Raw genomic sequence first — 16,964 nt, 5'->3', positions numbered from 1 at the left:
TGATTTCTTTGCATGAAATATTTTCATCTTACAAAACCGAAACTCTGTATTCATTAAATAATATCTCTTCATTTTCCCTTCCCCTCAGCCCTGGCAACCAGCATTCTACATTTTGTCACTATGATTTTGACTACTCTAGGTACCTCCTCTAAGTAGAATCATACAGTATCTGTCTTTTTGTGACTGGCTTATTTTACTTTGCATAATGTCTTCAAGTTTCATCCATGTTGTAGCATGTGTCAGAATTTCCTTCCCTTTAAAGGCCAAATAATACCTCATTGTTATGTATATACCACATTTTGCTTATCCATTTATCTGTTAGTGGACACTTGGGTTACTTCTAGGTGTAAGTTACTGTGAATAATACTGCTATGAATATGTGTATACAAAATCTCTTCTAGACCCTGTTTTCAATTCTTTTGAATATGTACCCAGAAGTGTAATTGCTGATTTATAATTCTATTTTTAGGAACCTCTACTCTGTTTTTCGTAGAGGCTACATCGTCTTAGAATCTGACCACAGTTCGCAAGAATTCATTTCTCCACATCTTTGCCAACACTTGTTATTTTCTGTTTTTTATTTTTATTTGTTGCTGTTGTTGTTGTCATTGTTAGTAGTCATCCTAAGGGGTGTATGGTGGTTATCTCATCGTAGTTTTGACTTGCATTTCTTCAATGATTAGTGAAATTGAGCATCTTCATGTGCTTGTTGGCCATTCATATATCTTTTCTGGAGAAATGTCTATTCAAGTTCTTTGCCGATTTTTGAATCAGGTTATTTGCTTTTTTGTTGTTGGGTTTTAGAAGTTCACGATATATATTTTGATATTAATCTTTTTTCAGATATATTATTTACAAACTTTTCTTTGATTCTGTGAGTTGCCTTCTTATTCTGCTAACAGCATCTTTTGACGCACAAAAGTTTTGATTTTTATGAAGTCCAATGTCTATTTTTCTTTTCTTTTTAAAAAAACATATTTTAAGTTCAGGGGTAGAGGTACAGGTTTATTACATATGTAAATATGTCATAAGAGTTTGTTGCATAGATTATTTCATCACTCAGGTATTAAGCCTAGTACCCATTAGTTATTTTTCCTGATCTTCTCCCTCCTCCTACCCTCCACCCTCTGATAGGCCCCAGTGTGTGTTGTTACTCTGCATGTGTCCATGTGTTCTCATCATTTAGCTCCCACTTATGAGAACATATGTATGTGCTTTTCTGTTTCTGTGTTAGTTTGCTAAGGATAATGGCCACCAGCTCCATCTATGTCCCTGCAAAGGACATGATCTTGTTCTTTTTTATGGCTGCATAATATTCCATCCCATATATGTACCACATTTTCTTTATCCGATCTATCATTGATGGGCATTTGGGTTGATTCCATGTCTTTGCTATTGTGAATAGTGCTGCAGTGAGCATGTGTGTGCATGTGTCTTTATAATGGAATGATTTGTTTTCCTTTGGGCATATACCCAGCAATGGGATTGCTGGGTCAAATGGTATTTCTATCTTTAGGCCTTTGAGGAATTGCCACACTGTTTTCCACAATGGTTGAAGCAATTTACATGTCCACCAACAGTGTATAAGCGTTCCTTTTTCTCCACAACCTCACCAGCATTTGTTATTTTTTGACTTCTTAGCAATAGCCATTTCGATGGTTGTAAGATGGTATCTCATTGTGGTTTTGATTTGCATTTCTCTAATGATCAGTGATGTTGAACTTCTTTTTCATATGCTTGTTGGCTACATGTATGTCTTCTTTTGAGAAGTGTCTGTTCATGTCCTTTGCCCACTTTTTAATGGGTCTGTTTGTTTTTTTTCTTGTAAATTTGTTTAAGTTTCTTATAGATGCCAGATATTATAACTTTGTCAAATGCCTAGTTTGCAAAAATTTTCTCCCATTCTGTTGGTTGTCTGTTTATATATTTTTCTTTTGTTACCTGTGCCTTTGTTACAATATCCAAGAAATTATTGCCAAATCCAATGCCATGGAGCTTTTCCTGAAAAAAAAATTTCGATCCTGGAAAAAATTTACATCATTATTGACTCCTCATTAAGAATCTTAACATTGCTGGGTGTGGTGGCTCACGCCTGTAATCCCAGCACTTTGGGAGGCCAAGGCGGGCAGATAATTTGAGGTCAGGAGTTCGAGACCAGCTTGGGCAACATGGTGAAACCCTGTCTCTACTTAAAAAAAATACAAACATTAGCTAGGCACAGTGGCATGCACCTGTAGTCCTAGCTATTTGGGAGGCTGAGTCAGGAAAATCGCTTGAACCTGGGAGGCAGAGGTTGCAGTGGGCCGAAATCATGCCACTGCACTCCACTCCAGTCTGGGTGACAAAGTGAGACTCTATCTCTCCCCCTCCCCGCAAAAAAAAGAAAGAAAAGAAAAATCCTAAAATTATTGTCTAGGGACAGTTCAACATCAATTTAGTAACATCTTTTATTTAATCATAATGTGGTCATCTGGCTTGTGCTTAAGTATCTCCATGACAAGATGCTGAATGTTCTTAAAAGAAGATTGGATCATTAATGAAAGAAAGTCTATAAAGACTGGAAATCCTTTATTTTAAGCTGAAATGTTTATTCCTCCTGTATCCACTATCAGCTTTAGTTTTATACCAAATCTATTTAGAGCAACACAAAATAAATTTCTGTTGCCACAATAAATGTCTTCAAATATTCGAAGAGCATTATCCACCCCTCTCCAAGTTTTTTTCTTTTTGGTCCACGCTTTTATTGTGTTAGTTTCATTAAAAGAGCTAAATAATAAAAAAACTGTGCTATTAAAAGAAATGATTAAACTTGCAGGGTATGTATTCTTGGAGTAATTAATATTTAACCAGAGAAGGAGTATAGTGTAGTAATTAAATCTATGGGCTAAAATCCTGACTGTGTCACTTATTAGCTTGTGATGTTGGGCCTGTTACTTAATCTTCTTGTGTCTTAGTTTATTTGTAAGATGAGGATAATAATATTATCTAACTTATAGGGTGGTTATCAACATTTAATTAGTTAATACATATAAAGCTGTTAGAATAGTGCCTGTCACGTAGTAAGTACCCAACACATTTTAGCTGTTATTATTAACTCAAATATATTTATCCTCCATGTAAGACTATTTGATCCATTGGTCAATCAGCAAGTGCCTTTTTTTTAAGTCCTTATAATTTTAGTAACATGTTTACATATGTATATATGCATATAGTATATATTTATAAATTTATTATAAAATTATGTTAGTAAAAAAACTTAAGAAGGTCGATGTTGAAAATTTTTACCAGATGAGAGAATATCCAGATAACTTCAATCTGAAATTTGGCATTGTTGTCTCTATTGAGGGTTCAACCTCAATTTACTTTCTCCAAATTTCTTTGCATTTATTTTTCAAAAGTCACTTGTTCATTTTCAGACATAATTTTGTAACTTGAAGTTTTGTCCAAAATATAATTGGCATGACTTTAAGACATCATAGAGCCCAAGGAGTGGCTTTGCCCAATAAAAGGAAAACATACGGTGCCTCTATTTGTAAGTGTTTATCAATGAGCAAAATATGTATACTTTTTATTTTTAATGCTGTGGATATAAAACACCTACTGGATGCAAGACATAGTGTTTTAAACAGAAAGAATCAGTCTTTCTTCTTAAAGAACTTCCAGTGCAGTGGAAGATATAAAACATTGTTATAGAGAGACCTAACACCACAATTCAACAGATTGTGACTTTCAAATGATGGATATAGACAGTATTTAAAGAGTTCTGCAGAAGCAAGCTCAAAGTGGCTGGGGTAGTCAGGGAAAGCTTCCCAAGAAAGGAAGAAACAAGGTGCAGCTTCATGAATGAGCAGTGGTCAAGCCAGGGTGGGGTGGGCTGTTCCAAGAACATGAACAGGCACAGAGGTAGCAATGCCCAAAACATATTCAGGCGCTGCTGAGCTAGAAGACAGGGTTTTTGTAGGCAAACAGAAAGGGAAAACTGAAAATGATAATCCTGAGATACTGTGGGTCCCTGAATAATAAAAAACTGAAGGCTCAATTATGAAACCAAATTTAAAACATAATGTCAGTTAACCAAAAGATACATTAGATAAACCTGTCAATGATGTTAGATTTTACTGTATATGTTTAAAGATTAAAGGAATATTAATTCATAAATGTAATGTCTTGACTCAATTAAATGTTCATGCTTCAAGAGTTTTGTCAAGATTTTGCTTTCTTAGTTTCTTTTTGTGAACCAAAGCTCAGATATGACTTCAGCGTCGTTTGATTTCAGCCAGAATGCCTGCAGAGGTTGCAAATTAAGACAGAATGAAAGCAGACTAAAGGAAAACCTGCTAAAACAATAAGATTTATAATTCTTATTCCTATGTATTAGCTGGCACAGTCTGTGAAATAGTATAGTGGGGTGAGCATCAAAACACTCGCATTCTTTATTCTTGTTGACTTTCTCATTGAGCACTGATGTAGTCCTAATAATGCTCCTATAATCTAGGTTTCCTATTTATAGATTCATGACAATGAAATGTCCCTGATCACTGTGCAGCAAGGTTGTGTGAAAGAAATATTTGAAAGAAAACGCATTTGGGGTCAGCTTTGGCCTGCTCTGGACCTCTCCAACAGCCCTGTCAGGTTCCTGGTGCCTGCTCTGTCCCCAGCACCCACTGCCCACATTAGAGCAAGAGATCCCTTCAAAGACAAACCTTACCACATTGCTCTTCTCTTTAGAACCCCAAACCTTGTCCGAGTAAAGATATAAAACCCTTGGCCTGGCTCACAAGTTCTGTGAGTCCAGTCCCCACCAAACCCCTGCATCTGCATCTCACACGATGCCCCTGCTCACTCATGCCCATCTCTCACACAGGACACTTACTGCTGCCACAGGGCCTTTGCATATGCTGTTTTGCCACCTCCTTACCCTAAAACTCCTATTCATACCCAGCCCTCACCTCCACATCACTCCACAGGAAAACCAGACCTCCTAGACCATTTAGGTCCCTTGAATATATGCTTCCTAGGAGCCATGTCACCCTTTATGACACCAGTGAGCACAGCTATAATTCTTTATTTGTTTTGTGATTAGTTCTATAATGTCTGGATCCTCCTGGACTGTAGGCTCCATGAGGACAAAGGCAGTGTCTTTTTTCTTCTTATCATATAATTCCTGATATGCGCAGAATGTCTAGTGGGACCCTGAATAATAAAAAGCTGAATATAAGACAGTGAACAATATTTGTTGAGTTTATTCATGAATTTACCAGTTGTGTGGCTTTTAAAACAGAGATAAATAATAACAGCATCTACAGAAGGCTGTTCATCTACTTCACAGGAGTGTTATCAAGATTAAATACATCAACATGAGATGGCAAAGCATGCTATGCACGAATATCAGTCTCTATTACAGAGATTGCTGAGAACAAGATGAGATAATACCACATGAAATCTTTAGCTCATAGGTGAGCTAAAAAGCCTTATTATTTCGGAGGAAACTCTTAGTTTGATAGTATATCAGTGAAAAGCTCCTACAAGACAGGATAATATGCCAATCGACAATATTCAAGATTGCTCAGCCTTTTCAAGGTGCAAATTTATGAATTGTTTATGCTCACATCTTTGTTACTTTTGAGTCCAAACATGACACCAAAGAGTAGCTTTCTTGCTATGGTGTTCTTGCTTGCTGTAGATTGCTGACAAGAGGCAATAGCATTCGAAGCATCTCATCTCCTAAACAATGTGATTGGCTGTCTTTTAAGCTTCTTTGTCTGATTCATCATAGCCAAAACCGGAACCTGTAAAATCACATGGACTTTGGCTTAGAAGACTTTGTTATTACCTTATCAAATAAAGCATCCCTGAATAGAAGCATTGGGAAAATGCCTCAGAGCACTATATTATATTATAGTATATAAATATAATATATATATGTGTGTACATATATATGTATATATAATACAATACATTGTATTTGTTCTCCTGGCAAAAAGTTTCAGCATTTATTTAGTGACACATAGCTAGGGCTGCATGTATCATAGTTTATAGTTGAGTGTGTGTGTGTGTGTGTGTGTGTGTGTGTATGTGTATGTATGCGTATGTGACTAGCAGAGATGGCTAAAAGAAACCACAGAAATGATTTGTTCTTTTAAACAAAAAATTGACTAAGTATATCAAATCATGACCCAGAGCCATATTGTTGAAAGATTTCTTGTTTTTAACTCAATGATGTGTTTTTCAGAAAAATTTCATGAATTACATTTCCAATGAGAAGTAAGAACTTATTTTAAGAGACTTTTTGTGAGATAAAGCTTTTTAAATTTTTTTTGGTAACTATGACTTTGGTAAATGGATCTGACCTGGGGGTCATATTGATACAGTTGACCCTTGAACAACACAGAGGTTAGGGGTGCCCACCCCCATACAGTTGAAAATTTGTGTATAACCTTGGACTCCTCCAAAATTTTACTAATAGCCTACTGTTGATCGGAAGCCTTACCGATAACATAAACAGTTGATCAACACATATTTTGTATATGTGTTATGCAGCCTATTCTTCCAACAAAGTAAACTAAATAAATATTATTAAGAAAATCATAAAGAAGAGAAATATGTTTACTATTCATTAAGTGGAAGTGGATTATCATAAAGGTCTGTATCCTCATCTTCACACTGAAAAGGCTAAGCAGGAGGAGGAAGAGGAGGGGTTCATCTTGCTGTCTCAGTGGCAGGAGGCAGGAGAAAATCTACACATAAGCGAGCCCAGACAGTTCAAACCCATGTTGTTCAAGCGTTAACTGTACTTATAACATCGATGTACTATTGACATTCTGGTTCCATTTTGAGGAATATCAAAGCCTTCCTATGTTACATGCTGTGCTCATTTTCCTTGGTTCCTTTTACCTTTTTTTTTTTTTTTTGGTATTCTACTTACTAGTGCCAGGCAGAATTCCCTGTGGGAAGGCTGAAGAGTTCCAGCTTCCCAGTAAATATGCATAGCTTCTTTGCACCATTGATGTCGTAATATAGCACTCCGAAGGGTGATAATGTGGCCCTTTGTGGGCCACTTGCTGAGTTTTAAGAACAGAGCATCATCATACTTTATTTTTTAAAAAGGTACACTTCCAAAATGTCTAAATTTAGAAGTAGGGAGGCTTGGATCTTGTGCCAACATGGTCTTTGAGATTATATCAAGAAAAAGGTTTTGTTTTTTTTTAGAAAAAAAAGGTCAGATGCCTCCCTGTGTATAAACCAATGCCTCCTTCTAGTAAGACACCAACGTGAGGCTAGAGCCCAAGAATCCTTCTTTCCAAGGAAATAGACTTGCTCTGTCCTCTGCACAGTCCTTTATCCACTCCCATTTCTAAAGTTACTAGTTTCCATGGGGATTAATTCCACACTTGGCTCATTAACCTCATGTTCTAACCAGTTCTTAATTAGGATATCACTTATGATGTCTTAAATATTATTTTCTTTGAGAAAGAAAATCAGTACTGTCCAAATTGATGAAATTGGTGACTATCCTAAGAATACGTCCTTTCTAATTAATTGAAAAGTTGATGGACCATTAGTGCTGAAGTCTCTGAGCAACTTGCAAAGTAAGGAAAAGGAATTTTACCATTTGTACCACTTTTCAGCCACATTTCTCTCTCCCAATGACCTGTAGAGTTTCCCCAAGTTCTCCAGGGCCATGTGATGACTTGGGCTCAGTTGGATGGCCTATCAGTGATGGGCCACTACCTTCTCTGGATCCCCTCTTATCATTTGTAGGCTGTTAAGTACAAAACACTGCATATTTATACAACACTTAAGTTCTTCAATCACTCTTCTGACATATGGTGCTTCTTCATTATTACAGACTCATACGACCAATTATTCAGTTTATAAATCAGCATGCTTTAAAAATTTTTCTCTTTGCCATTGCCTAACTTAGGACCATTTCATTATTTACTTCTATTCACAAAGAGGATAATGGTAAGCAATGATAATAATGATGTTAATTTTTATGTATAATAAAACTGTACCTAGTTATACATTATTATTATACATATGTATTAGTATGTAATAATAATAATATTAAAACCTCTTTCTTTTGCTTTTTGAGGTGTCTTAGTAAAAAAATTTCTGAGGCCCAATATACTAGCTAATGTGACATTTTGAGGTGATCAGGAACACTTATTTCTTCAAATATCTCTGTATCTTATAAGAGAAATAACATAATTGACTATTGCAAAAAGAAAATTATCCTGTAGCAATTTCTCAAGGTTTTTCTTAATTACTACACTTTGAAGATATTGCTTTGAATAAATATACATCAGTTAGAGCTTGAACTTTTTTTAAAGATACAGTTTTATTTTAATGATATTTACTTGAACAGGACTTTAACCATATACTAATAACAACATTACCTTGTATTTGTTTAGTGCAGTACATGGATTAAGATGCTTGCTTACATGATCTCATGTGATCCTGGCAAGTATTTTAATGAGCTACCTAAAACTCCTTTGATTTATAAGAGATAAATACACAAAATGACTTTACAGACTCAGAAGCTAAAGCACAAAGAGATTAAATACCTTGGCAAAGATCCCAGGGCAAGAGTGCCTCAGAGCAAGAGGTATAATCAGGTCCCTTTTCTCTAGATAACTTTCGTCAAGTAGTTTCCAAGTAAGATTTCTGAACTTGGATAACTGGATCAGGTATACATTTTTCCTAATGGAATGATTATTCTTTGCACAGTAATTCTTTTAGGCAGTCTGCTTTAGAATACAAGTTTGATTGGCTGGAGATGAGATACTAGAGAGACAGAACTATAGATAGCAGGTGTCAGGGGAGGAATTGGAGGAACTTCATAAGTATGAAAAACAACGGCGAAGACAAAGTATATTGCCGGCAAGATAAACGGAGTGGATAGTGGGTTGATTTGAAAGTTTAATTGTCTTTCTTGTTGAGGTAGAAGGAAGAGGATTAGACTAATCACTCTCTTAAGGTCTATTATAGTTTTTAATTACTTAATGTGTGTAACTTTTAACTTGCATTATGTTGCTTACAAATCAGTAGGGAAGATTATCTTGCATAAGTGTTTTTATAAATAAGGAGTGTTTTGTTCTTACCAGCCTATAAATGGTTAGAGGAAATCCAGAGAAGGTAGTGGCCCATCACTGATAGGCCATCCAACTGAGCCCAAGTCATCACATGGCCCTGGAGAACTTGGGGGAAACTCTACAGGTCATTGAGGGAGAGAAATGTGGCTGAAAAATGGTACGAATGGTAAAATTCCTTTTCCTTACTTTGCAAGTTGCTCAGAGACTTCAGCACTAATGGTCCATCAACTTTTCAGTTAATTGGAAGGGATGTGTTCTTGGGATAGTCACCAATTTCATCAATTTGGATGGTACTGATTTTCTTTCTCAAAGAAAATAATATTTAAAACATCATAAATGATATCCTAATTTTACATGTAAGAATAAAAGCTAGGCTGCTGAGTTTTAAATGAATTCATTATATTATTATAATCATAAATTATATTATTTATGTTCTAGAAAACAGGAAAATTCTAAATGTACCAGAAAATACAATCTTCTTTGAACTTGTCATATTAAAAAAATTATTAAAACTGAATTTTATTGCAGGCAGGCAGTCTATTAGTCAATGAGAATGAAATCATGTTCTTGAAACCAGGAATCCCGAGAGGACCCACATATCCTCTGAAAGAAGCCAACTGCTCCTGCAGGACCCGGGAGACACCCAAAATACTGTAAGTGCCCCAACTGCTGAAGTAGAAAAAAGAGATCCTCCACACACGCGCACTAGGGAAACTCAAGGTCTGTTTGTTGGAGGAGTTTTTGACCTTACCTGGAGCTGAGTCAATTTAGAGAGCAGGCGGGGCGTGATGGCTCACACCTGTAATCCCAGCACTTTGGAAGGCTGAGGTGGGCGGATCACGAGGTCAGGAGTTTGAGACCAGCCTGACCAACATGGTGAAACCCTGTCTCTACCAAAAATACAAAAATTAGCCAGGTGTGGTGGTACGCACCTATAATCCCATCTACTCAGGAGGCTGAGGCAGGAGAATCACTTGAACCCAGGAGGTGGGGGTTGCAGTGAGCCGAGATCTCACCATTGCCCTCCAGCATCGGTGACAGAGCGAGACTCCATCTCAAAAAAAAAAAAAAAAAAAAAAATTAGAGAGCAGAGTGAAATACAGGGGTAGAGGAAGCAGTGGGAAAGGTCTTGAGAGCTCTCTGGATCCCCAAGCAGGCCATTCCAGCCTGGCAACACAGGGATCCTTCAGGAGGGCAGCCAGAGGTGCAGGGGAAAATGCCACAGGGAGAAGAAAGTCTCCAGCTGAACTTTGTAACAATTTGAACCTGGCAACCTCCTGGCCAGAACTTGGGAGGGCATGAATCTGGTGTGCAGACTCCACAGGTGGGGGAAGAACCAAGCCCTTAGCTTTTGCAGCTGGGAAGTGGGTAGCCTGGGGCAAGTTCTCAAGCCCTGCTCGCCCACTGCCTGGAAACAGACTCGGGGCTATTAGGAGGGTCATGTGGGAGTGAGACCAGCCCTTTGGTTTGCGTGGGAGCTGTGTGAGGCCTGTGATTGCTGGCTTTTCTCCACTTCCATGACAACCTGCATGACTCAGCAGAGGCAGCCATAATCCTCCTATGTACACAACTCCATTCACCTGGGAACCTCACCTCCCATCCCCCACAGCAGCCACAGCAAGACCCACCCAAGGAAAGTCTGAGCTCAGACACGCCCAGCCCTGCCCTCACCTGATGGGCCTTCCCTATCCACCCTGGTAGCTGAAGACAAATGGCATATACTCTTGGAAGTTCTAGGGCCCTGCCCACTGCTGGTTCCTCTCCATACTACCACAGCTGATGCTCTCTGGAAAGCGCCACCTCTCAGCAGGAGTCCAACAAGCACAAAAGTAGAGCATTAAATCACCAAAGCTAAGAACCCTCACTGAGTCCATTTCACCCCCCTGCCACCTCTACCAGCACAGGTGGTAGTATCATAGCTGAGAGACCTATAGATGGTTCACATCACAGGGCTCTGGGCAGACAGGCCTCAGTACCATCCTGGAGCTGGGCAGACTTGCTGGGTGGCTAGACCCAGAAGAGACATTAACAATTACTGCAGCTCTGCTCACAGGAAGTCACATCAATAGGAAAAGAGGGAGAGTACTACATCAAGGTAATACCCCGTGGGACAAAAGAATCTGAAAAACAGCCTTCAGCCCTAGACCTTCCCTCTGACAGAGCCTACCCAAATGAGAAGGAGCCAGAAAACCAACTCTGGTAATATGATCAAACGAGGCTCTTTAACACCCCCCAAAAATCACACTAATTCACCAGCAATGGATCCAAAACAAGAAGAAATCCCTGATTTACCTGAAAAAGAATTCAGGAAGTTAGTTATTAAGCTAATCAGGGAGGCACCAGAGAAAGATGAAGCCCAATGCAAGGAAATCCAAAAGATGATACAAGAAGTGAAGGCAGAAATATTCAAGGAAATAGATCACATAAATAAAAAACAATCAAAACTTCAAGAAACATTGTACACACTTATAGAAATGCAAAATGCTCTGGAAAGTCTCAGCAACAGAATTGAACAAGTAGAAGAAAGAAATTCAGAGCTTGAAGACAAGGTCTTTGAATTAACCCAATTCAACACAAACAAAGATAAAAGCATAAGAAAATGTGAACAAAGACTCCAAGAAGTCTGGGATTATGTTAAACAACCAAACCTAAGATAATCAGTGTTTCTGAGCAAGAAAAGAAATGTAAAAGTTTGGAAAACATATTTGGGGGAATAATCGAGGAAAACTCCCCTGGCCTTACTAGAGACCTGGACATCCAAATACAAGAAGCACAAAGAACACCTGGGAAATTCATCACAAAAAGATAGTCACCTAGGCACATTGTCATCAGGTTATCTAAAGTTAAGATAAAGGAAAGAATCTTAGGAGCTGTGAGACAAAAGCTCCAGGTAATCTATGAAGGAAAACCTATTAGATTAACAGCAGATTTCTCAGCAGAAACCCTACAAGCTAGATGAAATTGGGGCCCTATCTTCAGCCTCCTCAAACAAAACAATTATCAGCCAAGAATTTTGTATCCAGTGAAACTAAGCATTATATATGAAGGAAAGCTACGGTGTTTTTCAGACAAACGAATGCTGAGAGAATTTGCCACCACCAAGCCACCACTACAAGAACTGTGAAAAGGAGCTCTAAATCTTGAAACAAATACTGGAAACAAATCAAAACACAACCTCTTTAAAGCATAAATCACATAGGACCTATAAAACAAAAATACAAGTTAAAAACAAAAACAAAAACAAAAAACAAGGTACACAGGCAACAAATAGCATGGTGAATGCAAAGGTACCTCACATCTCAATACTAATATTGAATGTAAATGACCTAAATGCTCCACTTAAAAGATACAGAACTGCAGAATGGATAAGAACTCACCAACCAACTATCTGCTGCCTTTAGGAGACTCATCTAACACATAAGGACTCACATAAACTTAAAGTCAAGGGGTGGAAAAAGGCATTTCATGCAAACGGACACCAAAAGCAGCAGGGGTAGCTATTCTTATATCAGACAAAACAATCTTTAAAGCAACAGCAGCTAAAAGAGACAAAGAGAGATATTATATAATGGTAAAAGTCCTTGTCCAACAGGAAAATATCACAATCCTAAACGTATATGCACCTAACACCGGAGCTCCCAAATTTATAAAACACTTACTAATAGACCTAAGAAATGAGATAGACAGCAACACAATAATAGTGGGAGACTTCAATACTCCACTGACAGCACTAGACAGGTCATCAAGACAGAAAGTCAACATACAATGGATTTAAACTACACCTTGGAACAAATGGTCTTAACAGATATATACAGAACATTTCATCCAACAACTACAGAATACACATTCTATTCAACAGCGCATGGAACTTTCTCCAAGATAGACCATATGCTAGGCCATAAAATGAGCCTTATTTTAATACCACTATTAAGAATTTGAAAACTTCTTTAATCACATTCAATATAACCAAAAGAACAACACTAATTGACATTGCTTGGGCTTTTTCTCCCTTTGTTTAAAATGTCATTTGTTGAGCAAGGGTTGTATAGTATTATCTACTTGAGGCTGTTAATTTTTCATTACAGTGTTTTGTAACTGTATCCATGAGACCATAATGCATTGTTTTGTGCTCAAATTGTGTTTTGTAATTAAACCATTTTGAATGACGTGTATTTTGTAAGCATTTAATATTTATGCTCTTTAGAATGGAACACAGAAAACAAACCTTATAAGGCCTGATTACATTAATCTGAACCAATAACCTGTGTGGCCCACAAAGTATAATTCTGCTAAATGTTTTTTAAAACACCTTTTTTTCTAATTAAAATCTTTACAAGTGAATACAAAATACAAAAGATAAATGAAACAAAAGTTGGTTCTTCGAAAAGATAAATAAAATCAATAGACCATTACCAAGATTCACCAAGGAAAGAAGAGAGAAAATCAAATAACCTCATTAAGAAACAAAATGGGAGATATTACAACTGACACCACTGAAATGCAAAAGATCGTTCAGGGCTACTATGAACACTTTATACACATAAACTAGAAAACCTAGAAGAAATGGATAAATTCCTGGAAAAATACAACCCTCCCAGCTTAAATCAGGAAGAATTAGATACCCTGAACAGACCAATAACAAGCAGCAAGATCGAGATGGTAATTAGAAGATTGCCAACAGAAAAAAGTCCAGGACCAGATGGATTCACAGCAGAATTCTACCAGACATTCAGAGAAGAATTGGTACCAATCCTTTTGACATTATTCCACAAAATAGAGAAAGAGGGAACCCTTCCAAATTCATTATATGAAGCCAGCATCACCCTAATACCAAAACCAGGAAAGGACATAACCAAAAACGAAAACTACAGGCTGATATCCCTGATGAACATAGCACTGTTAGCGGGGCATGAGGGGACCGAGACTGGCCTTGCCAACTGCATGGGAGCTGGGTGAGGCCTGTCACTACCTTCTCTAAATCTTGAAACAAACCCCAAACCTCGTAGAAGAAAAGAAATAACAGATCAGAGCAGAACCAAATGAAATTGAAACAATACAAAAGATAAACAAAAAGCTAATTATTTGAAAATATAAACAAAATTGATAGACCATTAGTGAGATTAACCAAAAGGAGAAGAGAGAAGATCCAAATAAACTCAATTGGAAATGAAATGGTAGATATTACAACCAATACCACAGAAATACAAAAGATTATTCAAAGTTACTATGAACATCTTTATGTGCACATACTAGAAAATCTAGAGAAGATAAATAAATTCCAGGAAATATACAACCCTCCTAGATTAAATCAGGAAGAACTAGAAATTCTGAAAAGACCAATAACAAGTAGCAAGATTGAAACAGCAATAAAAAAATTGTCAACAAAAATGTGTCCAAGATCAGATGGATTCACAGCTGAATTCTATGAGGCATTCAAAGAAGAATTGGTGCCAATCTTACTGAAACTATTCCAAAAGATAGAGAAAGAGGAAATCCTCCCTAAATCATTCTAGAAAGCCAGTATCACCCTAATACCAAAACCAGGAAAGGACATAACAAAAAAAGAAAACTACAGACCAATATCCCCGATGAACATAGATGCAAAAATCCTCAATAAAATACTAGCTAATTGAATCCAACAGCATATCAAAAAGATAATCCACCATGATCAAGGAGGTATCATACCAGGGATGCAGGGATGGTTTAACATATGCAAGTCAACAAATGTGATATTTTGTATAAACAGAATTAAAAACAAAAATCGTATGACCATCTCAATAGACACAGAACAAGCATTTTACACAATCCAGCGTCCCTTTATGATTAAACCCTCAGCAAAATCGGCATAGAAGAGACATATCTTAGGGCAATAAAAGCCATCTATGACAAACCCACAGCCAACGTTATACTAAAGGGGGAAAAGTTGAAAGCATTTCCCCTGAGAACTGGAACAAGACAAGGATGCTCACTTTCACCACTGCTATTCAACATTTTATGTCCCAGCAATCAGACAAGAAAAAGAAATAAATGGCATCCAAATTAGTAAAGAGGAAGTCAGATTGTCGCTGTTCACCAATGATATTACTGTGTACCTAGAAAACCCTAAACACTTATTCAAAAAGCTCTTAAATCTGATAAATGAATTCAGTAAAGTTTCAGGATATGAAATCAATGTACACAAATAAGTAGCCCTGCTATACACCAACAATGACTAAGCTGAGAATCAAATAAAAAACTCAACCCCTTTTACAACTGCTGCAAAAACAAAACAAAAAACAAAGAAACAAAAAAACATAGGGATATGTCTAACCAAGGAGTTGAAAGACCTCTGCGAGGAAAACTACAAAACACTACTGAAAGAAATCATAGATGACACAAACAAATGGAAACATATCCCATGCTCATGGATGGGTAGAATCAATTTTATGAAAGTGGCCATACTGCCAAAAGCAATCTACAGATACAATGTCATTTCCATCAAAACACCATCATGATTCTTCACAGAACTAGAAAAAAACAATCCTAAAATTCATAAAGAACCAAAAAAGAGCCCGCATAACCAAAGTGAGACTGAGCAAAAAGAACAAATCTGGAGGCATCACATTATCTGATGTTAAACTATACTACAAGACTATGTTACCAAAACAGCATGGCACTGTTATAAAAATAGGCATGTAGATCAATGGAACAGAATAGAAAGCCTAGAAATAAAGCCAAATGTTTACAGCCAACTGATCTTCAACAAAGCAAACAAAAACATAAAGTGGGGAAGGGACACCCTATTCAACAAATGGTGTGGGGATAATTGGCAAGCCATATGTAGAAGAATGAAGCTGGATCCTCATCTCTCACCTTATACAAAAATCAACTCAAGATGGATCAAAGACTTAAATCTGAGACCTGAAACCATAAAACTCCTAGAAGATAACATCATAAAAACTCTTGTAGACATTGGCTTAGGCAAAGAGTTCATGACCAAGAACCCAAAAGCAAATGCAACAAAAACAAACATAAATAGATGGGACCTAATTAAACTATAAAGCTTCTGCACAGCAAAATAAATAATCAACAGAGTAAACAGACCACCCACAGAGTGGGAGGAAATATTAGGAAACCATGCATCCAACAAAAAACTAATATCCAGAATCTACAAGGAATTCAAGCAAACCAGCCAGAAAAAACAAATAATCCTATCAAAAAGTGGGCAAAGCATAAGAATAGACAATTCTTAAAAGAAGATATACAAGGCCAGGTGTGGTGGCTCAAGCCTGTAATCCCAGCACTTTGGGAGGCCGAGGTGAGCGGATCACGAGGTCAGGAGATCGAGACCATCCTGGCTAACACGGTGAAACCATGTTAAAAATTACTACTGTATAGAAATTTTAGTAGAAAAATTGTATAGAAATTTTACTACTGTATAGAAATTTTTTTAGTAGAAAAATTGTATTTTTCTACTAAAAATACAAAAAATTACCTGGGCGTGGTGGCAGGCACCTATAGTCCCAGCTACTCGGGAGGCTGAGGCAGGAGAATGGTGTCAACCTGGGAGGCAGAGCTTGTAGTGAGCCGAGATTGCTCCACTGCACTCCAGACTGGGCGAAAGTGCAAGACTGTGTCTCAAAAAAAAAAAAAAACAAACAAAAAAAAAAACAAAGAAGATATATAAATGGCCAACAAACTTATGAAAAAATGCCTAACATTATTAATTATCAGGGAAATTCAAATTCAAACCACAATGTACTACCACATTATTCCTGCAAGAATGCCCATAATTAAAAACAAAACAAAACAAAACAGATGTTGGCATGGATATGGTGAAAAGGGAACACTTTTACACTGCTGGTGGGAATGTAAACCAGTAAACCACTA

This window comes from Homo sapiens, chromosome 12, assembly GCF_000001405.40.
Source record: "Homo sapiens chromosome 12, GRCh38.p14 Primary Assembly".
In the NCBI taxonomy this organism is placed as follows: Eukaryota; Metazoa; Chordata; class Mammalia; order Primates; family Hominidae; genus Homo; species Homo sapiens.
Note: the sequence above shows the minus strand (reverse complement) of the source record.